The sequence below is a fragment of the Homo sapiens genome, chromosome 2, assembly GCF_000001405.40.
Source record: "Homo sapiens chromosome 2, GRCh38.p14 Primary Assembly".
Taxonomy (NCBI): domain Eukaryota; kingdom Metazoa; phylum Chordata; class Mammalia; order Primates; family Hominidae; genus Homo; species Homo sapiens.
Genome location: NC_000002.12, coordinates 48,607,233 through 48,631,535, shown reverse-complemented (window position 1 = coordinate 48,631,535; position 24,303 = coordinate 48,607,233). Strand labels below are relative to the sequence as shown.

At 40.5% G+C, this 24,303-nt stretch overlaps 2 protein-coding genes across 5 annotated transcripts in view, besides 1 other annotated feature; both read right to left on the bottom strand.

Annotated features, from left to right (window-relative positions):
- Window positions 1-13,680, bottom strand: part of GTF2A1L (general transcription factor IIA subunit 1 like) — a 61,749-nt gene extending 48,069 nt beyond the window's left edge. Inside the window, exons 1-3 of one of the 2 annotated variants that reach the window (NM_006872.5) lie at window positions 13,641-13,680; window positions 10,584-10,685; window positions 10,246-10,369 (exon numbers count right to left, since the gene is read on the bottom strand). In NM_006872.5, coding sequence (NP_006863.2) covers window positions 10,246-10,369; window positions 10,584-10,685; window positions 13,641-13,661 — 247 coding nt within the window. In that variant the 5' untranslated portion in view covers window positions 13,662-13,680. The remainder of the gene's footprint in view (window positions 1-10,245; window positions 10,370-10,583; window positions 10,686-13,640) is intronic. The other variant, NM_001193487.3, reaches the window with a different exon arrangement.
- STON1-GTF2A1L (STON1-GTF2A1L readthrough) overlaps window positions 1-24,303 on the bottom strand; it is a 246,595-nt gene that overhangs the window by 144,984 nt on the left and 77,308 nt on the right. For all 3 annotated transcript variants that reach the window (NM_001198593.2, NM_172311.3, NM_001198594.1), the window contains 2 exons: window positions 10,584-10,685; window positions 10,246-10,369 (listed from right to left, as the gene is read on the bottom strand). In NM_001198593.2, coding sequence (NP_001185522.1) covers window positions 10,246-10,369; window positions 10,584-10,685 — 226 coding nt within the window. The remainder of the gene's footprint in view (window positions 1-10,245; window positions 10,370-10,583; window positions 10,686-24,303) is intronic.
- Window positions 16,179-16,682: an enhancer, noted in NCBI's record as "H3K27ac hESC enhancer chr2:48841993-48842496 (GRCh37/hg19 assembly coordinates)". NCBI's record gives its function as "activates a minimal SCP1, AML or CMV promoter by ChIP-STARR-seq in naive H9 embryonic stem cells {active_cell/tissue: H9 hESC(naive)}" and the evidence as "EXISTENCE:reporter gene assay evidence [ECO:0000049][PMID:30033119]".

The window sequence follows — 24,303 nt, the reverse complement described above, 5'->3', positions numbered from 1 at the left end:
CACTAACTAGATTAACAAAGAAAAAAAGGGAAGATTCCAATAAGCACAGTCAGAAATGACAAAGATGACATTACAACCAATCACAGAAATACAAAAGATCCTCAGATACTATTAGAATACCTCTACATACACAAACTAGAAAATCTAGAGGAAATGGATAAATTCCTAGAAACATAAAATCTCCCAAGATTGAATCAGGAAGAAATTAAAACTCTGAACAGACCAATATCGAGTTCCAAAATTGAATTAGTAATAAAAAACCTACCACCCAAAAAAAGCCCCAGACCAGATAGACTCACAGCTGAATTCTACCAGATGTTCAAAGTAGTGCTGATACTATTCCAAATATGCTGAAAACTATTCCAAAATGTTGAGGAGAAGGGACTCCTCTCTAACTCATTCTATGAAGCCAGCGTCGCCTTTATACCAAAACCTGAAAAAGACATGATAAAAAAAGAAAAGTATAGGCCAACATCCCTGATGAACACAGAGCAAAAATCCTTAACAAAATACTAGCAAACTGAACCCAGCAGCTCATCAAAAGTTAACTCACCACAACTAAATAAGCTTCATTCCTGGGATGTAAAGTTGGTTCAACATATGCAAATCAATAAATATGATTTATTGACAAATACAATAAACAGAATTAAAAGCAAAAACCTGTGATCATCTCAATATACATGGAAAAAGCTTTTGGTAAAATCCAACATGACTTCATGATAAAAGAAAAACCCTCAAGAAACTAGGCATTGAGGGAACATACCTCAAAATAATAAGAGCCATCTATGACAAACTCACAGCCAACACCATGCTAAATGGGCAAAAATTGGAAGAACTCTCCCTGAGAACCAGAAAAGACAAGGATGCCCAATCTCACCACTCCTATTCAATATAATACTGGAGGTATAGAACAATCACTCAAGAGAAAAAGTAAAAGGCATCCAAACAGGAAAACAAGTCAAACTATCTCTCTTCACTGACAATATGGTCTTATACCTAGAAAATCCTAAGGACTTCACCAAAAGACTCTTAGAACTAATACATGTCTTCAGTTAAGTTTCAGGATACAAAACCAATGTATAAAATTAGTAGCATTTCTTTACACCAACAACGTTCAAGCTGAACGCCAAATCAAGAACACAATCCCATTTGCAATAGCCACACACAAAAATAAAATACCTAGGAACGCATCTACTCAAGGAAGGGAAAGATCTCTACAAGGAGAACTACAAAACACTGCTGAAAGAAATCATAGATGACACAAACAAATGGAGAAACACTCCAAGCTCATGGAATACAAGAATCAATAACATTAAAATGGCCATACATCCTAAAGAAATCTACAGATTCAATGCTATTCCTATCAAACCACCAATGTCATTTTTCACAGAACTAGAAAAAAACTGTTCTAAAATTCATATGGAACCAACAAGGAGCCTGAACAGCCAAAACAATCATAAGCAAAAAAGAACACAACTGGAGGCATCATATTACAGAACTTCACCCATACTATAAGTCTATAGTAACCAAACAGCATAGCAACAGTACAAAAACATAAACATAGAACAATGAAACAGAATAGAGAACTCAGAAATAAAGCCACACACCTACAGCCATCTGATCTTTGACAAAGTCGACAAAAATAAGCAACGGGGAAAGGACTCCCTAGTCAATAAATGGTGATGGGGCAACTGGTAGCCATATGCAGAAGAATGAACTAGACTCCTACCTTTTACCACATACAAAAATTAACTCAAGATGTAACTGGGCAGCTTAAATTCAAAATACATTTTAAAACTTTTTTTTTCCTTTCCCTTTGGATTCAAGACCTAACCTTGAAGCAAACTTCAGAAGCCTTTTCCCTTAGCCTGAAAATAGACTTCATGTCCTTCCCTTTCTCACCGCATATACTCCCTTCACATCTATCTAACTGTATGCTAGTATCTAATTATGTGCCTAGTTAGAAGTTCTAGGGGCTAATCTTGAGACAAACAGACCAAGCCTGGGGACCCAGCTGCAAAACTGCAGTGATAAATGCAAGGCAGCTAGTCCACAACCTTGCCATTGTTGAGATGACTCCAGCCCATGCTCCAGGTGGACTGGAACCCAAGAAAGCCAACAGAACAAGACACACAGACGTTGTACTCAGTACAATTCTTACATGCCTTCCATATCAAGTTTTACCTTTTTAAACCCTTGCCTTCCCTCATCAAAATTCAAAATCATTGCTTTGGACAGGAATCAAGCCACTTCCTCCTTGCCAGCTTTGGAAATAAAGTCACTTTTTTTTTTTTTGAGACGGAGTCTCGCTCTGTTGCCCAGGCTAGAGTGCGGTGACATGATCTTGGCTCACTGCAACCTCTGCCTCCTAGGTTCAAGCAATTCTCCTGCCTCAGCCTCCTGAGCAGCTGGGATTACAGGCACGCACCACCAAGCCTGGCTAATTTTTGTATTTTTAGTAAAGACAGGTTTCACCATGTTGGTCAGGCTGGTCTCAAACTCCTGTCCTCATGATCCGCCCACCTCGGCCTCCCAAAGTGCTGGGATTACAGGCATGAGCCACCGCACCTGGCTGCAAAGTCACTTTCTTCCTACCACACCTCCCTCTTGTTAACTGGACTCTGCAAGCAGTGAGTGACTGAACTTGCATTCAGTTACAAAGATGGGTTAAAGTTCTAAATGTAAGACCTCAAACTATAAGAATCCTAGAAGAAAACCTAGGAAACACCATTCTAGAAATCGGCCTTGGAAAATAATTTATAACTAAATTCTCAAAAGCAATTGCAACAAAAACAAAATTGACAAGTGAGACCTAATTAAACTATAGAGCTTCTGCACAGCAAAAGAAGCTACCAACAGAGTGAACAGACAACCTACAGGATGGTAGAAAATATTCACGAACTACTCATCTGACAAAGTTGTAATATCCAGAATCTATAAGGAACTTAAAACAATTCACAAAAAATCAAATAACCCCATTAAAAAGTGGGCAAAAGACATGTACAGATGCTTCTCAAAAGATATAGAAGTGGCCAATATATGAAAAAATGCTCCACATCACTAATCACCAGAGAAATACAAATCAAAACACAAGAATATACCACCTCACACCAGTCACAATGGCTATTATTAAAAAGTCAAAAAGCAACCAATGCTGGCAAGGCTGCAGAGAAAAAAGAACACTTGTACACTGTTGGTGGGAATGTAAATTAGTTCAGCCACTGTGGACAACAGTTTGGAGATTTCCCTAAGAACTTAAAATAGAACTACCATTTGACCCAGCAATCCCATTATTGGCTATATATCCAAAAGAAAGAAATCTTTCTACCAAAATGACACATGCACTCCCATGTTCATCACAGTACTATTCACAACAGCAATGACATGCAACCAATCCAGGTGCCCATCCATAGTGGATTGGATAAAGAAAATGTGGTATATATACACCATGGAACACTATGCACTCATAAAAAACAAAGAAATCATGTCCTTTGCAGCAACACGAATGCTGCTGGAGGCTGGTATCCTAAGTGAATTAATGCAGGAACAGAAAAACAAATACCACATATTCTTACTTTCAAATAGAAGCTAAACATTGAGTACCCATGGACATAAAGATGCCAACAAGAGAAAATGGGTACTACTAGAGGGATGAGGGTGAGAGGAAGGCAAGGGTTGAAAAACTAACTACTGGATACTATGCTCAGTACCTGGGGGTACTATGCATTTGTACCCCAAACCTCAGAATCATGCAATATACCCATGTAACAAACCTGCCTGTGTACCCCTGAATCTAGAATAAAAGTTGAAAAGAAAAAAAAACATGGCCTCTTTTTTCAAGAAACACCATTTTTACTTGAAAGAATATCTGACAGCAACTATAGTTATTCAAACTGGGTATCTGGCAGACATTTTTTTAAACATAAACTAAGCATGCCCATCACTTTAAGAAAAACTAACAGCATGTATTTGCCAATGATAAAACTCAACTTTTCAAGCAAAAATTTAATTTTGGAAAATTCATATCAACCACAATGGATGAGAGGCCTAGTTATATCAATGAATATGATTTTTTTAAACTTGTATAATGAACAACGTTTCAACTGTATGACAGGAAACCAATTTTTCCAAATAACCAATGTATGCTGTAACATTACACGTGTTAAAAAGCCATTCAAAGTGCAAGGTATACCAATAAACCCTAATGAAATATTCCAAAAAGTTCCTTGTGGTTCCAGATTCCATCATGCAGCTAACCTCTCAGAAACTACCATTTGTTGAGTTTTAGTGTAGTTATCAATTATCTGAAAATACTATTAAAATGCTTCCCTTTTTTCCAACTATGTATCTGTGGAAGGCTAGATTTTCTTCCTATACTTTCACAAAAACAACATATCACAACAGATTGAATTTAGGAACAGATATAAAAAATAAAGAGATCGAGGTAGTAATTAAAAACCTCCCAACACAGAAAAGCCCAGAACCAGATGGCTTCATGGCTGAATTCTACCAAATATTTAAAGAGGATGAACTCAGTAAAGTTGCAGGATACAAAATCAACAAAAAAAATCAGTGGGATTTGTGTACACAAATAACTACCTATCCAAAAAATCATAAAAACAATCTCATTTACAATAGCATCTTAAAAAATAAAATTCTTAAGAATATATTTAACCAAGAAGGTGAAAGATATGCACACTCTAGGAGGCCAAGGTAGGTGGATTGCTTGAACTCAGGAGTTTGAGACCAGCCTGGGCAGTATGGAGAAACCCTGCCTCTACAAAAAATACAAAAATTAGTCAGATGTTGTGGCACATGCCTGTAGTCCCAGCTACTTTGGGAGTCCGAGGTGGGAGAATGGCTTGCGCCCAGGGGGTGGAGGCTGCAGTGAGCCAAGGTTGTGCCACTGCACTCCAGCCTGGATGACAGAGCCAGACCCTGCCTCAAAAAAAAAGATATGTACACTGAAAACTATAAAACATTGATATAAGAAACTGAAGGACACAAATAAATGGGAAAATACCCATGTTCATGGACTGGAATAACTGATATCATTAAAATGTCCATACTACCCAAAGCAAAATATGGATTCAACAAAATCTCTTATCAAAATTCCAATGACTTTCTTTATAGAAATACAAAAAAAAGTCTAAAATTCATATGGAACAACAGAACACATTAAATACCAAAGCAATTCAGAGGGGAAGAAAAAAAAAGCAGAGTTGGAGGTATCACATTTTCTTGTTTAAAACTATATTGCAAACCTGTAGTAATCAAAACAGTATGGCACTGACAAAAACAGACACAAAGACCAGCAGAACAGTATAGAGAGCCCAGAAATAAACCCAAACACATATGGTCAACTGATTTTCAACAAGGGTGCTAAGAGGACACAATGGGGAAAGGATAGTTTCTTCAATAAATGGTTGTTGGTGGAAGAAGTGAATTTCCACACACAAAAGAATGAAATGGACTCTTATTTTCATACCATACATAAAAATCAATTCAAAATAGACAAAAGACCTAACCATAAGACCTTAAACCATAAAACTCCAAGACAAAAACACAGAGGAAAACCTGTTTGACAATGGCCTTGGCAATGATTTTTTGGATATCACACCAAAAGCTCGGGCTACAAAAGCGAAAATAAATAAGCCAGGCACAGTCGCTCACATCTGTAATCCCAGCACTTTGGGAGGCCGAGGCAGGAGGATTGCTTCATTCCAAGAGTTCAAGACCAGCCTGGACGACACAGCAAAACCTGGTCTCTACAAAAAATGTGAAAATTAGCCAGGCATGATAGAGTATGCCTGTAGTCCCAGTTACTCATGAAGTCGAGGTGAGAGGATCAATTGACCCTGGAAAGTCAAGGCTACAGTGACCTATGATTGCTCCACTGTACTCCAGCATGGATGACAGAGCAAGACCCTCCCTCAAAAAAATAAAATAAAATAAAATAAATACAGACATCAAATTAAAAAGCTCCTGCACAGCAAAGAAAACAAATAACAAAATAAAACAGCAGCCAACAGATACGGAGAAAATATTTGCAAACCATATATCTGATAAAGGGCTTAATATCCAAAATATATTAAAAGATTTACACAACTCAATAACAGAAAAACAAATAACCTTTTCAAAAATTGGCAAAGGACTTGAATAGATCTTTTTCCAAAGACAACATAAAAACAGCTAACAGGTATACAAAAAGGTGCTCAACATCACTATTCATCAGAGGAATATAAGTCAAAACTGCATTAAGATATCAACTCACACCTGTTAGGATGGCTATTACCAAAAAGAAAAGAGACGACAAGTGTTGGTGAGAGTACAGAGGAAAGGAAACCCCTGTACTCTGTTGGTGGGAATGCAGAATGGTCAGCCATTGTATAAAACTGTGCAGAGATTCCTAAATAAATTAAAAATAGAATTACCACGTGATTCAGCAATCCTTCTTATGGATATATACCCAAAGGAAATTAAACTACTACCTCATAAAAATATCTACACTTCCAAGTTCATTGCAATATTACTCACGATAGCCAAGATTTGTAAACAACCGAAGTGTCTGCAAATGGACAAATGGATAAAGAAATTGTGGTATGTCTGTATACACACACACACAGAGGAATATGATTCAGCTTTTTAAAAGAGGGAGAGTCTGCCATTTGTCACAACATAGATGAAACTGAAGGACATTATACTAAGTGAAATAAGCCAGACACAAAAAGAAAAGTATTGCATGATCTCATTTATATGTTAAAAAAAAAAAACCACAAATACAGACATAGAGAATAAAATAGCAGTTACCAGAGGCAGGAAGGGAGAAAATAAGAAGATGTAGGTGAAAGGATCCAAAGTCACAGATACATAGGATCAATAAGTCTAAATATCTAATAGATAACATGAGGGCTATACTTAATAATGTTGTGCTGCACTTGGGATTTTTGCTAAAAGAGAAGACTTAAGGCATACTAAAAGTACCTAAAATGAGCACCTATGTGAGATGACAGATATGTTAATTTGCTAGACTATACCAACCTCTTCACTATCTATCTATCTATCTATCTATCTATATCAAAGCACTATGGTGAACACCTTACATACAATAAAATGTAAATAAATAGAAATAGATAAGAATCCAGCTCATTTCTGCAAACCTCATTAAGCCGACATTAATTGATGACACTCTTCTTACTAAATATTTTTGTTCTCGAAGAATTATTACTCATAAATATATGCTATTATGTTAACATGTAATTAAATTTTTAAATAAACCAATATTTTTTAAATTTTTGTTTTAATTTCCAACATAGTAAATAGATACTTACAACCCACATTTTAAAAGCTATTTGGGGTCCTTAATTTTTATGAGCTTAAAGGGGTCCTGAGACCAAACAAAGTAGAGAACTGAAGATACAGGAAATTACTACACAAATAAAAAACGAAGAACATATGATAGAGCAAACAAGTTTCTGGGTTTAGATTCAGGGGGTATGTGTACAGGTTTGCTACGTGGGTATATCACATGATGCTGAGGTTTAAGCTTCTATTGATCCTGTCACCCAAATAGTGAACATAGTACCTGACGGGTAGTTTTTCAACCCTTGCCCCCTTCTCTCCTTCTCTCCTTTTGGAGTACCCAGTGTTCGCACCTTTCTGTCTGTATGTACCCAATGTTTAACTCCCATTTATAAGTGAGAACATGCAATATATGGTTTTCTGTTCCTGTGTTAATTCACTTAGGATAATGGCCCCAGCAACACCCATGTTGCTGCAAAGGACATTTCTTTCTCTCTTTTTTAAGGTTGCATAGTATTCCATGGTATATATGTACCACATTTTCTTTATCCAATCCACCATGTATGGGTTGAGTTGATTCCATGTCTTTGCTAATGTGAGTAGTACTGCAATAAACATACAAGTGTGGGTGTCTTTTTGTTAGAACAACTTATTTTCTTTCGGGTAAATGCCTAGTAATAGAACTGATGAGTTGAATTGTAGCTCTAAGTTGAGAAATCTGCAAACTGCTTTCCAGTGGCTGAACAAATTTACATTCCCACCAACAGTGCATAAGTGGTCCCTTTTTTCTGCAGCTTCACCAACATCTGTTTTTCAGTTTTTTAATAATAGCCATTCTGACTAGTGTGAGACGGTATCTCATTGTGATTTTGACTGAGCAAACAAGTTTTAAGATGGTACAGACAAAGGCAAATGACTTATTGAATTGTAGATTTAATTTGAACTTGCTATCAAAAGAGATAAAAAAATTCTAGAAGTTTAAGTTATTTTAATCAGGCTTTTAAAAGCATACCATGAGAAGATATAATTAAGAAGTACTTCAATTTTATGAGACTATTTATTTCAAGAATCTTACTGTTTGGTACCTAAAGATGAAGAGAGACAGGAACAAGCCTATAAAGCACTTTTAAGGGATACATGTAATTCCTCTGAAACCTCTTCATTATAAATGATGTAGAAGAGAATAAGGAGAAAAACTATTTAAAATGTAATTATTTCTATTATTCTAACTGCTAAGATACAGAATAAGGAGCTGAGTAAAAACAAACTTGATACACTAGTTGCAAGACTTTTGTTATTTAAATCACTGGTAATATTACCATCTTGCGGCAAAATCTAGTATTGCAATTTTGAATGACAGAATCTTAGAAGTGTTCACCATGCTTTTTTTTTTTTTTTTTAAGATGGAGTCTCACTGTGTCGCCCAGGCTGGAATGCAGTGGCGCGATCTCAGCTCACTACAACCTCTGCCTCCCAAGTTCAAGTGATTATCCTGCCTCAGCCTCCCAAGTAGCTAGGATTACAGGCATGAGCCACCACGCCTGGCTAATTTTTGTGCTTTTGTTTTTGTTTTTAAGTAGAGACAGGGTTTCGCCATGTTGGCCAGGCTGGTCTAGAACTCCTGACCTCAGGTGATCCACCCACCTCGGCCTCTTCTGATAAAAGACAGTCAAGTATTTTCCTCTTCCATACCCACCACACCCTCATGCCAACCATAAGTTAAAAAAACATCTTTAGCATTCTGTAATAAATAAAACAGTGATTAACAAAACTCCAAAGGAATGTTATTTAAACAGAGAAGGAGATGTCCCAATGAAATAGTAGTTTAAAATTAAAGCATAGCCAAAAACCCAACTGATGAAAAATGTTTCAATGTGTCAACAATTAAAACTGCCAAGACTAATTCTTACAGAGCAAAATTATACTTTATTAACACAGTATTCGATAAAACTTGTATTTGCTAATTCAACATTCATTGTTAATTTATTCATTTTTATATGTTAGAATTGCTGCCACATGTAAATTCTCCCACTTTGTAATAGAAGAAGTACAAGCATCCTTACAATGTTCTCTTCACCTTGGCCCATGTAATTTTCATGTGAATTTTCCCAAGCATGCAAAGAACTATCTGCTTATTACTGATAATCCAATCCAAAATCTACCCTCACTTCTTGCAGACTACTCTGCTGAATTTCAGCTAAACCCAATAAAACTTGTTTGTATGCGAGTATACATTTATATATACACATATGAGTAACATAAAGATTATAAGAATCAGAAGAAAAAGAAAGGAATCAAGCATACAAGGATAGAAAACTCTTAAGTTTTATCTTTTATTAGCTAGTCCCTTCCAGTTTAAATTGATACGCATAATGTGGACAAACATTTCCCTTAAAAGCAGAAGTCTAGATTTGCTAAGTCCAAGAATAAAGATAAATGCACATGATCAATTTCTAGCCATTATTTTATATATCCAAAACAGTGAGGTAGCCTGAATAATCTCCATATTCTGAACTCTCCATTTTGCTCCCAATATATCAGATTTATAATATACACAAAAAATAAGAGAAAGAGAACACACAAACTTGCAAGCACTCACCTTTCCCTCTGCCACTTCTAATCCTTGACTAGACCCAGTCAAATTATCTGAAATTACCAATGGGTGCTCCCAACAGCTGACAAACTATGTGACTTTCCTCTAAAGAAAGGCTTTATCATCTTTGTAAAATTTAATATTTAAAATAAAAACTAGTTCGAATAACCTGAGTTTTTAATCAATAATTACATGGGGCAATGATTTATACTGTGTTCATTTAATAGAAATGATTTAGGTGTCCAAGCCTTCTCACCCTAAGAACATTACCCTGTCTAACTGAAAAACATTCCCAAATGAGAATTTGTTCTGAAGATACTAACAGTACTCATTTACTAATGGTATCCAACCTGTTGACGATTGCAATGTTTGGTGCAAGCTGTGCGGCAACTGAAGAGTAAACAGAGGTGATTGGATGCTATTTCTGAAGAAGTCTTCTGTTGCTTTAGACTGCAAAACCTTGGTTTCCCAGAGCTGCAGAGGGGAAAAAAAAAGTTTACTTTAAAAAAATATATACACATATAATGATACTTCTCTTTTTTTCAGTTTCTTAAAAACTAACGTCATCCTGATGGCACAATGAATGGGTAAGTACTAAACTATAATTTGAGAGATCAGAACTATATCAGTTTTGTATGCTGAAAAAAACAACAAAAGACAGGAAGAAAAAGTTGTATCGGCTACAAACCTGCTTCAAGTCTTTTAAAACTTGTTCCTCTATACCTTCTTCAGCAAATAGATTCCGAACTCCTTCAATTACATCTTCAATTACAGATCTGTAGAGTTTAGGCTACATAAAAGCAATTGTTAAAGTTTCATTTTATTTATTTATTTATTTATTTATTTATTTATTTATTTATTCTTGAGATGGAGTCATGCTCTGTTGCCCAGGCTGGAGTGCGGTGGCACGAACTCAGTTCACTGCAATTTCCACGTCCCAGGTTCAAGCAATTCTCCTGCCTCAGCCTCCTGAGTAGGTGCGATTACAGGTGCATGCCACCATGCCCCGCTAATTTTTGTATTTTTAGAGAGACAGGGTTTCACCATGATGGTCAGGCTGGTCTCGAACTCCTGGCCTCGTGATCCACCCGCCTCAGCCTCCCAAAGTGCTGGGATTACAGGCATGAGCCACCACACCCGGCCTGTTAAAGTTCTGACTTCTCAAGTTAGAACATATTTGGCCTTAAAAGATATGCAGTGCATACCTTCTAGTCTTGTGAAGTCACCATTAAAACTTTTACTATGTACATTCCTATTCCCAATATAGTCTTAGCTTTCCATAAACTGTGTTAGCTTCAGACCCATAGTCTCAGCCTATCTACAAGACTGAATTACAGAACTACAATAACATATGAGCTAATAATCTCAAAGATGCATGGTTATTGTCATGTTACTTGCCTTTTGTGTCAGTATTTAACCTCCTCAACTCCTTTTAAAAGGGAAATTAATGTAAGTCAACCAGAAATAGACCTTCTGTTTTCAATTTACCTCTTTATCAAAGTGGCCAAAGGAGAATTTTTTAGGGTTCACTATATTATTTCCACAAATATAAATAAACTCCAAGCCAGAAAACTGGGGTAAACACTTAAAATAGAGCAATTAAAGCTCATCTCACTTCCAAAATACACAAAGTCCAAAAAATATATATTCTGGACCATTATCAAATACACCTGTTCCAAAACGGATTTCCTACCAGAACCTAAGAAGGGCACGAACAACCTTACCCATCCACAGTGTGCATACTGAAGAGACCAAATAACATTCTAAAATACCTCCTAGTCAAACATGCCATGACAATGAAATTAAGCAGATTTCTACCCAGATTAAACACTAGTTATAGCAACAAAAAAGAGGGTATGTGAAAAAACTCAGCCCTTCATATCTATATAAACTATGCCCCCAGGCCAAAATGGCAATGCTATGTGCTGACAATACTGACTTAGTGGAAGTTCCACCGGCAAGAAACAGCAAAGCAGGAATTTAGTTGAGTTGCTCTTATTTCAAATTGCTTAATCACGCCAAAATGAAAATTGTGGCACTCTAGGATTGCCTTTTCATCCTACCCTATTCAGTACTCATTAAGAGTACTAAATAAATACTCCTAAATACTCCTGTTCATGCCAAGAGTAGCTGTGCTTTTTTTTTATTATTATTATTATTTTTTTTTTTTTGAGATGGAGTCTTGCTCTGTCACCCAGGCTGGAGTACGGTAGCACAATCTGGGCCCACTGCAACATCTGCCTCCTAAGTTCAAGTGATTCTCCTGTCTCAGCATCCAGAGTAGCTGGCACTACAGGCGTGCACGACCTCACCTGGCTAATTTTTTGTATTTTTAGTAGAGATGGGGTTTCACCATGTTGGCCAGGCTGGTCTCAAACTCCTAAGCTCAAGTGATCTGCCCACCTCGACCTTCCAAGGTGCTGGGATTACAGGTGTAAGCCACCGTGCCCAGCCCCTAAGAGTATTTAGTATTTAAAGCTATGCTTTAATCCTTCTAAAGACCCAGGGTAAACCTATACGAATAGGCCAATCAGTAACATTTAAATAATGTTATTCACAAGCACATGCATTAAGACTAAATGCCCCTAAATTAGGTGCTTCTTCTAAAACAGTTTATCCTGATAAAGGCATACTAAATTGATGCTTCAGTGGTAGTCCCAGCTAGTGTGATCACGCTTAACACCGAAGGAAAAAACTCTTAGGTCTAAAAAATCTTAACACAGCAGTAGTCAAAAAGTACCCATTAGAACACAGTTTTTCAGAAATCAAAATAGGTATTGAACATATTTTCTCTTCTATGACCACAGACTTTGTATTGCATCCCTGTTATTAAAACTATGTCTAGTCCATCTTAACTCCTCTATTTAAAATACAGACACTCCTTCATAGAATTCACAATCAGATAAATTGGCATACATAGTAACCTTATATTCAGGCAGAGTATAGGTATTTTATGTATCTTAAAACGCACTATCATAAAACACATATAATTAAAGTAGCATGTCTCTAAAAATGGAGCTGTTATACTGCATATATAATACCCGGAACCCATAAAATTACACAGATCTGGACAGGCACATTGCCTTTCACGAAATGTGAAGTCTGTTGAGATGAATTGGTAATAAAGATGAATCCTTGATTTTTGTTCTTTGATTCAGGTTTTTAAGATTGATGGTCTCCTAAGTGCCACTGAGACTAGAAATTCTCACTGTGCAAATTAAGTGTCCGTTAGAGGTAGGAGGGTAATGTAGGTTGTACACTTAAGCATTAAGTTGTTAAAGGACAACGAAATGGGCGGGTAGTGAAAGACACTAAAAACATGTGGGGAGGTAACATGAGATATCACATTGTTATTTCAAGCAGTAAATAATACAGCTTGGAATTAACAATGTCCACGGTAAAATTAACACAACCGAACTTGGAGGTTTTCTAGTATCTAGGAAACCAGCAGGGTTGAGGATCAGTTCCACCTCTAAACACCCCAACTAGATAGCCTCAGTTTGGGTAAAAAGAGAAAAAGGGCACTTGTTCTTTTGGCGGGGCTGGCCCAACTTCCTGCTGAACTACTGGCCCTCAGCAGCTTCCTCCAACACAGACGTGAAGAAGAGCCCCAGCCCCTAAGGAAGAGAGAGGGTTTATGACAATCTGTAAAGTGTCAGGGGGAAACAAAAGGTGCAGGGTTCGGCTGCCGTGAACCCGGAGTCCCAGGGCGCTCCCTCTACACAGAGCCTGAGGTCTTCCTTACCACCGGGTTGAGGCAGGCCATGACAGCACCTCCAGCACCTGGCCCTTTGCGCCTGCGCGGCACGCAGTGCCCTCGGAGGGAAACACTGGGCACGTTTTGAACGATGTACGTCAGGTGCGCAACCACGGAGAACGCCGGGGGCGTGGCTGGGCAGAAGAGAACGTTAATAGATGGAGCGGGTTTGAGTGGAGGTGGGGGTCAAGGCGGAGAGGCGGTCGGCCTGTGTGAGAAAAGAGACCCGCTAAAACGGATGGTTAGGTTGGGTCTAGCCGGCTTTGGGCCGTTCACAGGTTGTTTCCTCAATCCGTGAAAGATGAAAATCGAGGAGGGGAAATGCAGGGGTAGATCTCAGTCTAACTTCAGCTTTGAAGAAGATGGGGAAAGAAAAGAGGGGAGACTAGTGATATCTGTCCTCTGCATTTACCAATTTTCATTCCTCCCCCTACACCCCACTCACAGCTGAACTCCATTTTTTGTTGTATAAAAATATAACAAGAGCCAAATTTTTCTAAGACTTGTCAGCGTGGTACAGCAGCATCAGCAGCATCTGGGAACTTGTTAAATATGCAAATGATGGGTCCCACCCCAGCCCTCCTGAATCAGACTGGAGGATGGAGCCTAGCATTCTGTAACTTTAACATGCTCTCCAGGTGATTCCAATGGGCGCTGACATGAGACCCCCTGACCTAAGACAAAGAGTCTCAATTTTGGGTGCACATTAAAATCACGCGGGGAGCTTTAAAAAAAAGTTTAGTGCCTGGATCCCACTCGGCAAAATCTGATTCTAATATGCAGCCAAGGTGGAAAACCACTGCTAAAAGAAAGTCAGCAGCTAATACGTTCCTATCTCCTTTTCTTAGTTAGGCAGAAATCACCAGCTGTCTACCTACAATAATTCTCTCTCCTGAAGGGCAGAGCATCTTGGGGCATACGTTACCTAGCTAAGACTGAGGGAAGATGTAAGCACAGATAACCTGGAGGATTAGAAAAGGGAAGAAGTCACCATCTGTTGCCACAACTCTGCCTTTTTGGCAGGGTCTCACACTGTTGCCCAGGCTGCAGTGCAGTGGCATGATCACAGCTCGCTGCAGCGTCTACCTCCTGGGCTCAAGCAACCCACTGACTTCAGCCTCCCAAGGAGCTGAGACTACAGGTGTGTGTGCCACCACGCCCAGCTATTTTGTGTGTGTGAGTGTGTGTGTGTGTTTTGTAGAGACAGGTTTTCGCCATGTTGCCCAGGCTGGTCTCAAACTCTTGGTCTCAAGTGATCCACCAGCCGCAGCCTCCCAAAGTGCTGGAACTATAGGCATGACTCGCCGCACTTGGCCACAACTCTTCTAAACAGCCTTTCTATCCTGCAAATAGGTCTTGACCTAACCAGATGGATACGTTATTTGATGATTAAAAACTCTATTATATTTAAAATTGGCTGTTTATTTATTTATTTGTGCAAGTAAGTGCAGTAGAGCTGTTTATCCCCTACCACTGTGTATGTGATTTGCCTGGGTCAGGTACCTTATGGTTTGTGAGTTTCAAGTAGCTGATTTATATGATACCCTTTAGAAAACTTTCCTACATTGAAAACTATTAGAAATTTCTTTTACAAAAAGCCAAGAACTATATATGGTCATTTTAATGGTCATATCTCTCCACCTGGCAATTTACTACCAGGAGTGTTCAAAGTGACTTATCTTTCACCCAAAGTAGGAAAGCTAAAAGCAGTCATTGATTCCTACTGATATTATAAAATCCAATTAAATTATTCAAGCTGGGAAATAAGAAAGCTAAAAGTGTCTCTTGTTTTCCATCTTTTTCATAGGAAGGTTTTAAAGCTTTATTTCTAAATGCTTAGGATTGGTAATCACCTAACTTTCTGTGACAGCATACTGTTTTACTTTATTACACATTCTGCCCTTCTCAGAACTATACGTAGATCATGTATATTTTTTAAATTATTCTTGGATCTTGGTACCCATAAAAAGTGTAACTAAAAGTTGAATTGTTATTTCTTAGTACAGTCAGTATACTCAAGTTATGGAGAGGCTATGTAATGTTAGCAGAGAAATGTCAGCAAATTTCATTTGCCCCTTGCAGTTTGTCTGAATGGTCACTAGTCATTTCTTCCCAATAACAGGCAATGACTACTAGAGGAGGTATGCTTTAACACAAGTTCTAGGTAAATCCAAGTTGCAAATCTGCCACGTGGACCTGTGGTAGCCAGTTTTCAAGATGGCCCCCAGTGATCCCTGCCTCCTGGTATTGACCACTTGGTGTTGTCCCCTCCTACCTTGTACCATGGTAGGTTTATTTTACCACTAAAATAAAGAAGAAGTAGGTCTCCCTCTCCCTCTCCCGTCTCCCTCTCCCTCTCCCGTCTCCCTCTCCCTCTCCCGTCTCCCTCTCCCTCTCCCGTCTCCCTCTCCCTCTCCTTTCCACGGTCTCCCTCTCATGCCGGGCCAAAGCTGGACTGTACTGCTGCCATCTCGGCTCGCTGCAGCCTCCCTGCCTGATTCTCCTGCCTCAGCCTGCCGAGTGCCTGCGATTGCAGGCGCGCGCCGCCACGCCTGACTGGTTTTCGTGTTTTTTTGGTGGGGACGGGGTTTCGCTGTGTTGGCCGGACTGGTCTCCACCTCCTAGCCGCCAGTGATCCGCCAGCCTCGGCCTCCCGAGGTGCCGGGATTGCAGACGGAGTCTCATTCATTCAGTGCTCAATGGTGCCCAGGCTGGAGTGCAGTGGCGTGATCTCGGCTCGCTACGGCCTCCACCTCCCAGCCGCCTGCCTTGGCCTCCCAAAGTGCGGAGATTGCAGCCTCTGCCCGGCCGCCACCCCGTCTGGGAAGTGAGGAGCGTCTCTGCCGGGCTGCCCATCCTCTGGGAAGTGAGGAGCGTCTCTGCCTGGCTGCCCAGTCTGGAAAGTGAGGAGCGTCTCTGCCCGGCCGCCATCCCACCTGGGAAGTGAGGAGCACCTCGTCCGGGCCCCCATCCCATCTAGGAAGTGAGGAGCGTCTCTGCCCAGCAGCCCATCGTCTGAGATGTGGGGAGCGCCTCTGCCCCGCCGCCCCGTCTGGGATGTGAGGAGGGCCTCGGCCCGGCCGCGACCCCGTCTGGGAGGTGAGGAGCGTCTCTGCCAGGCCGCCCCGTCTGAGAAGTGAGGAGACCCTCCGCCTGGCAACCGCCCCGTCTGAGAAGTGAGGAGCCCCTCCGCCTGGCAACCGCCCCGTCTGGGAAGTGAGGAGCGTCTCCGCCCAGCAGCCGCCCCGTCCGGGAGGGAGGTGGGGGGCTCAGCCCCCCGCCCGGCCAGCCGCCCCGTCCGGGAGGTGAGGGGCGCCTCTGCCCGGCCGCCCCTACTGGGAAGTGAGGAGCCCCTCTGCCCAGCCAGGAGCCCCTCTGCCCAGCCAGCCGCCCCGTCCGGGAGGGAGGTGGGGGGGTCAGCCCCCCGCCTGGCCAGCCACCCAGTCCGGGAGCTGAGGGGCGCCTCTGCCCGGCCACCCCTACTGGGAAGTGAGGAGCCCCTCTGCCCGGCCACCACCCCGTCTGGGAGGTGTACCCAACAGCTCATTGAGAATGGGCCATGATGACGATGGCAGTTTTCTGGAATAGAAAAGGGGGCAAGGTGGGGAAAAGATTGAGAAATCGAATGGTTGCCGTGTCTGTGTAGAAAGAAGTAGACATGGGAGACTTTTCATTTTGTTCTGTACTAAGAAAAATTCTTCTGCCTTGGGATCCTGTTGATCTATGACCTTACCCCCAACCCTGTGCTCTCTGAAACATGTGCTGTGTCCACTCAGGGTTAAATGGATTAAGGGCGGTGCAAGATGTGCTTTGTTAAACAGATGCTTGAAGGCAGCATGCTCATTAAGAGTCATCACCACTCCCTAATCTCAAGTACCCAGGGACACAAACACTCTGCCTAGGAAAACAGAGACCTTTGTTCACTTGTTTGTCTGCTGACCTTCCCTCCACTAGTGTCCTATGACCCTGCCAAATCCCCCTCTGTGAGAAACACCCAAGAATGATCAATAAAAAAAAAAATTAAATTAAAATAAAAAAAAAAAAGAAGAAGTAGTAGCATATCACCTTTGAGATAAGGTTATTCATAGCTGTGGATTCTTTCTTGGGCTCACTCTCTCATTTTGGAGGAAGCCAGCTGTCATGTCATGAGGATACTCAGGTAGCTTATGGAGGGGTCTATTTGGCAAGGAACTGAGACTCCAGCCCACAGTCAGCAAGTATGAGAAACCCTCAAACAGTCACATAAGTAAGTTCGGAAATAGATCCTTCCCCAGTTGAACTATCAGATGATTGCAGCCCTGACAAGCTTTACTACATATCTTTGAGTTATCTTGAACCAAATCTACGCTCTAAGCATCTCCTAGATTCCTGATCCTCAGAAGCTATATGAGATCATGAATATCTGTAATTTTATTTGCAGTTACATTTTGGATAATTTGTTACACAGTGTGAAATAACTAAACCAGCACCCATTCTCTGATTGGACTGTCCCTCATTGTAATCTCAAGTGTCTTGAGTGACCTCACCAGTCACAAGAGCATTTGAAAAGTATGTAAAAGAATCTTTTAACACTTACGTTTGATAGCTTATCAAATTATCATGAAATATGCAGAATAGTATAGTCATGATGGTTACATTTCTTTTGTCAATTTTTTAAACTCAGAGAGGAAGTATGTTGCATAAACAATCCACTTTTTTTAGAGAGAGAGACAGGGTCTAGGTCTATCACCCAGGCTGGAGTGCAGTGGTATGATCATAGCTCACTGCAGCCTCGAACTGCTGGCCTCAAGCAATCCTCATACCTCAGCCTCCCAATGTGCTGGCATTATGAGCATGAGTCACTACATCCAGCCTACAAGGTACTTTTGATGGTAAAATTGAAATTTCAAGATCCTACAGCCTCAGTGAGGCAATTTTACAGTGGCTATTTTTTGTTAGTAAATAATGAATAAAAAAGAAATGCCAAAACTTAGTCCTTCTTTAAGTACCTATTCCTTTGAATTACACCTCTGCCAAAGCATAAAGCTCCCCCTTAACTGGCCAACACAATTTGGAGCATCAGATTTTCATTTTTCTCCTACTTTGTTTAGAGACCATAATATATAATATATATGTTTATTACTGATAATCAATACCAGTTTTTGCAACATTTAAGCAAATCTTAATAATCAGATTAATTTTCTTCCCCATGTGTCCTCACTACTTTTGCCTGGAGGTGTTAGTGATACTCTTCTGAAAGTAAAGAAATAATTTCACTTTGCTTATTGTGAGCAAAGGCCATATTTGTGAAGTCCTTTTGTTGGATAAAAATGTAAAGAAAGGCCGGGAGCAGTGGCTCACCCCTGTAATCCCAGCACTTTGGGAGGCCGAGGCGGGCAGATCACCTGAGGTCAGGAATTCAAGACCAGCCTACCAACATAGTGAAACCGTCTCTACTAAAAATAAAAAAATTAGCCAGGTGTGGTGGTGCATGCCTGTAATCCCAGCTACTCAGGAGGCTGAGGCAGGAGAATTGCTTGAACCTGGGAGGCAGAGGTGCAATGAGCCAAGATCATGCCACTGCACTCCAGCCTGGGCGACAAAGTGAGACTCTGTCCCAAAAAAGAAAAAAAGGAAAGAAAAATATTTTAGAGGCAGCCCATTATTTTTTACGTATTAAACTTTCCAGTCAAATACAAAGTATTTCAATAATTGTATAGACTCTAATTATTTATTGGTGATTAAAATACAAGTTGGTATTTGAGCATATGACTAAAGGCAGCAAATATTCATAATTAACTTCTGAACATTTTGCAACCAATGCACTAAACCCAGGGTGTTTCTCTGACCCTGTTTCATCCTTTACATCTTACAGGAAATGAAAATCCAGATAATCTCTGCCTCACCCTGTAACTTTGAAATGGTTACAGTGTTGGCAGTTCTGATTTATTTTATACTCTGCACTTTTGTAACATTTTCAATTTTCTAATACAGCTCCAAAATCAACTTGCTTTATTTGAACATCTGATTCTATTCCACCATGATGAATTCCTCCTCCCACTCCAACAAGATTTCAGTTAAAGTGACCATGTGACACAATGCAATGGAACACTGTTAATGAGTATATGACTGCCTACTTCAAAATATTTTAATATTCAAGAGATGTATATATCGTGCACGTATTACTAATTATAATTAACTCATAAAAAGTATGTGGGATGACTTCAAACACAATTTTCCTCATCACTACTTTTTCAACATTCTCATCAAGGTCTTGATAAGGATTCAGTAATTTCCTACCTAACAAATGGTTATACTTTCATTTCTTTAATCGTAATGCATATAATCATACATGTACATAAAATATTAGCAACAATAATGTTTATTGTCTCCAGTTAATTCTCCAACCTAGACAAGGTGGAGATAAAGACAAATAATTTGAACTTAAGGCTATGACCTGCAGAAAACCAACCAGCTTTGTTCCCTCGATAACTGTGCTTTTCTTTTTTCCTAATTTGTCTCATTTTATAAGAGGTAAGTGGCAGCATCTTGACTGTTCTATTCTGTTGTCTTAGATGCTTCAAATATTCGGAGAGGCAGGGACAACATAAAATAAACACACTTCTTCCTATTCATTCTGCTATGAACAGCTAAAATGTTATATATCTAAACAAACATAAGAAGACTCTGAAAAGTGAGGAGAATATGGCAGGCCAATTATGGACCTCGCAATCCCAACAGCCACATAGCAGTGAGTTCTCTGATTTTCTTTTTGCCTCCCATATCCTAGATTGGGTGCTGGAGAAGCTGGCAACCCAGAAATACCAATGGTCAGAGAGGAAACATAAAAAAGCTTGCTTTTTCTAGCCAAAGGACCAAGAAAGGGTCATCAAGACAGAAAACTTTTAGACAATAACCACTGTATTCTATCCAAACACCACAGAAAACCACTGTGGCCCCTTTCCTACCACTATCATCCCTACTTGTGATTGCATTTTCTTTTGGCTTTGAAAGTGGCAACGTCAGTGTTTGCTTATATGTGTTTACATGGGATGAGCTAGTGAATGATTCTTTATGTGAATGTTTTTCATTTGAAGTTACATCTTATTGTTACATGGACAGGTCAAGGAAATTAAGCACGGGATATTGTTTCAAGTACAAGAAAAAAAGCCATCTACAGCCACACAAGCGTTCCAAGATACCTTTAACAAGAGAGATGTTTTCATTTCATGATGAGAAACAACACCCCTTGGCCGTGCACGGTGGCTCACGCCTGTTATCCCAGCACTTTGGGAGGCCGAGGTGGGTGAATTGCTTGAGTCCAGGAGTTCGAACCTGACCAACATAGTGAAACTCTTTCTCTACTAAAAATTCAAAAAATTAGCCAGACATGGTGGTGCATACCTGTAATCCCAGCTACTTGGGAGGCTGAGACATGAGAATCACTTGAACCTGGGAGGGGAAGGTTGCAGTGAGCCGAGATCAGGCCACTGCACTCCAGCCTGGGAGAGAGAGGAAGACTCAAAAAAAAATTTTTTAAGTCTCAAAAAAAAATTTAAAAAGAGAGAGAGAAAAGTAACACTTCCTTCATAAGTTGCTGGCTATTAAATGAGAAAACACAGTCCCAGACAAACAACAGGTGCTAAAAAGCTAAGGGTGCTTCCTCTCCACTTTTACCAGCTTTCAAAAACAAGATTAAATCAAATTTTAAAACAAATATTTTAATATTTTTCAACCCCTTGGATATGTGTATGTGTTTATTTTTTAAAGGACATTTGCAACCATAAGTGTAATAGATTTTTAAATTTCTTGAGGGCTTAGGCTGTGTATTATTCATTCTTATATGCCCCTTGAGTTCCTAGCATAGTACCTCAAATATGAAAAACACTCATTAAAAGTTATTGATATGAATTTATTCTTAAGCTCTTATAAAATGGAATTTCTAGCCTATATGTGGGAGAAAATTACGGATTAAAATGCAACTATCATAGGGAGAAAAGTAGTGCATTGATCTAAATTTATCCGATCATTCATTCATGTAGTGTTTCTTATTGAACACATAGGTCGTAATCTCTGGCCAGGGGATTAGCCCCATATCACTGGCATTGCTCCTACCATCACCTACCACCACCCCTGCAGATGGTTCTCTTCCCAGAAAAAGAGAAATAACTGGGCAGAGCCACCCCAGTCAAAATCCCAAAGAGGGTGGGCAAAAAGAAAAAGATGCAAGTAATTACAATATAACAGGATTAGTACCAAAAAAAATACCTGTGAGGTTCACCTAACCTGAATGGGGAGGGCCAGGGAAGGCTTCTTAGAATTGGTCCCCTAAACTGAGGTCTGTGGAATGAGTAGGAGACAGAGGAAGGGGGCAAGGAAGAATATTCCAGGGAGAGGGTACTGTATCAGCCAAAACTTGGGGCTTGAGAACATGCAGGGTTTGAGAACATGATGGGTTTGAGGAAAACAGAGCAGTTTGTTTGGTTTGGCTAGAGGGTAGAGAATAAGGCAAGCTGTGGTGAAAGCTAAGGCTCACTGGTAAGCAAATGCAAGATAATGTGTCCCTTCCTGACTGCAGCACAAAGGGTGGACTGGAGGATGGAGGACAGCCACACTGAAGGTAGAGAAGCAGTTAAAGGTCTGTGGGGTTTGGAGGAATAAGTAGCTCCACTGGAAAAGCCTGCAGCAGAAGAACACCAAGATCTAAGTTACTGACATCTACCCTTCCGTGGCACTCAATCATATAAGACAAAAAGAAGGAGGCAGGGAGACCCTAAAAGCCTTGAGGAGGTGTGGGGGAAGGGACTGGAGCATCACTGATGGAGGAAGAGGCAAGAAAAAGAGGGCTACAAACATCGTCTAGGTCACAGTCTTACCCAAGGCCATCTCTGATCCCAGTGAGAGTTTAATATAGAATGTGTCCTTTTCCACAATGAGTACTTGGCAAAGCCTTTGAAAAGTGTTTCAGAATATCTCAAAATTATCCACTGGAGAGGCAGGCTCTTGGCATTTAACAATGCCACTGTTCAAAGATGCTCTTTCCTTGTCCTTTTCATGGCACTTGAGGACCTTTGGATGGAATTCTCTCTGAGCAGTGTGAAAATATCAAAATAAAACTCTACAGAAAAGGACAAGCACTGCTCCCGGGCGGCCTCTCCCACCCCCACCCGGCCACTCACAGCTCTGTAGCGTCTCTCTCAGAGATGAAAAGCAGAAAAAGAAACTGAACTCTAGAGTGCTCACAAATGTATTTCCCAAATCAGAGCTGCCTTAACCATTTATTCCCTGTTAGAGGGAATTGATCATCTCAGTTCTAAAATCACAATAATGTCCTCTTTTGAGTCAGTATAGCTGATATTGAAGCATTAATACCAGTGACATCCACGGCAACCTCTACCATGAAAAAAAAAATACGGTTAAAGAACACATATTAAAGGAAGTGATCAAACTTTTCAAGAAAATAAAATTGGGCTGAGTACAGTGGCTCACGCCTGTAATCCCAGCACTTTGGGAGGCCGAGGTGGGCAGATCACTTGATGTCAAGAGTTTGAGACCAGCCTGGCCAATATAGTGAAACCCTGTCTCTACTGAAAATATAAAAATAGGCCAGAAATGGTGGCGGACACCTGTAGTCCCAGCTAATCGGGAGGCTGAGGCAGGAGAATCACTTGAACCGAGGAGGCAGAGGCTGCAGTGAGCTGAAATCACACCACTGCCCTCCAGCCTGGGTGGCAGAGTGAGATTCTCTCTCAAAAAAAAAACAAAAACAGAAACAAACAAACAAAAAAACCCAGGGGGAAAAAAAGAAAATTAAAATCGGTAATAAAGAGTCCTTAAAGAAACAGGATCCTCCATCTCTGGGATGGTGAAAAGTCTCTGAATCCCCTGTTCCACTTCTGGGAAAGAAACTAAGAAAGAACACCTTAGATGACAGGCCTGCATTCATCCGTACCCATAGACTCTGTCTTGCCTCATTGCCGTGGATGAACTGTTTGTGCTTTTATCTGTCAGCCCCTCTGCTGGCGCCTTGGGTCCTTTCCCCTCTCATCTGCTCAGAGATATGGCCTTAGCAATTGTCTCTCTCTCTCTCCTTTGCATCGTTAATTTTCTTTTCTTTTCCTCCCCCCTCCCCACCCACGCTGTCACTCAGGCTGGAATGCAGTGACACGATCCTGACTCACTGCAACCTCCGCCTCCCGGGTTCAAGCGATTCTCCTGCCTCAGCCACCAGAGTATCTGGGACTACAGGCATGCACTGCCACACCTGGCTAATTTTTGTACTTTTAGAATAGATCGGGTTTGACATGTTGGCCAGGCTGGTCTTGAACTCCTGACCTCAGATGATCCACCTGCCTCAGCCTCCCAAAGTGCTGGGACTATAGGCATGAGCCACTGCACCCTGCTGCATCATTAATTTTCCTTTCACCAGTGGATCATTGCCAATTCCTTTCAACAGTGGATCACTGCCAATCCAGTGGTGTACCAAGTATGGGGAAGTGGGCAGTCCTGGGCACAGGCAATAATGAGAAGCATTGTTTACTGATAATTTAAACACAATGATGAAACAACAGAAAGTCAGTCAGCTTTTGATTATCACCATGTTCTGGCAATTCTGGCAAAAGAATGTCCACAATTAAATACTCTATCTCCCCTCCCCACCAATTTTTTATTT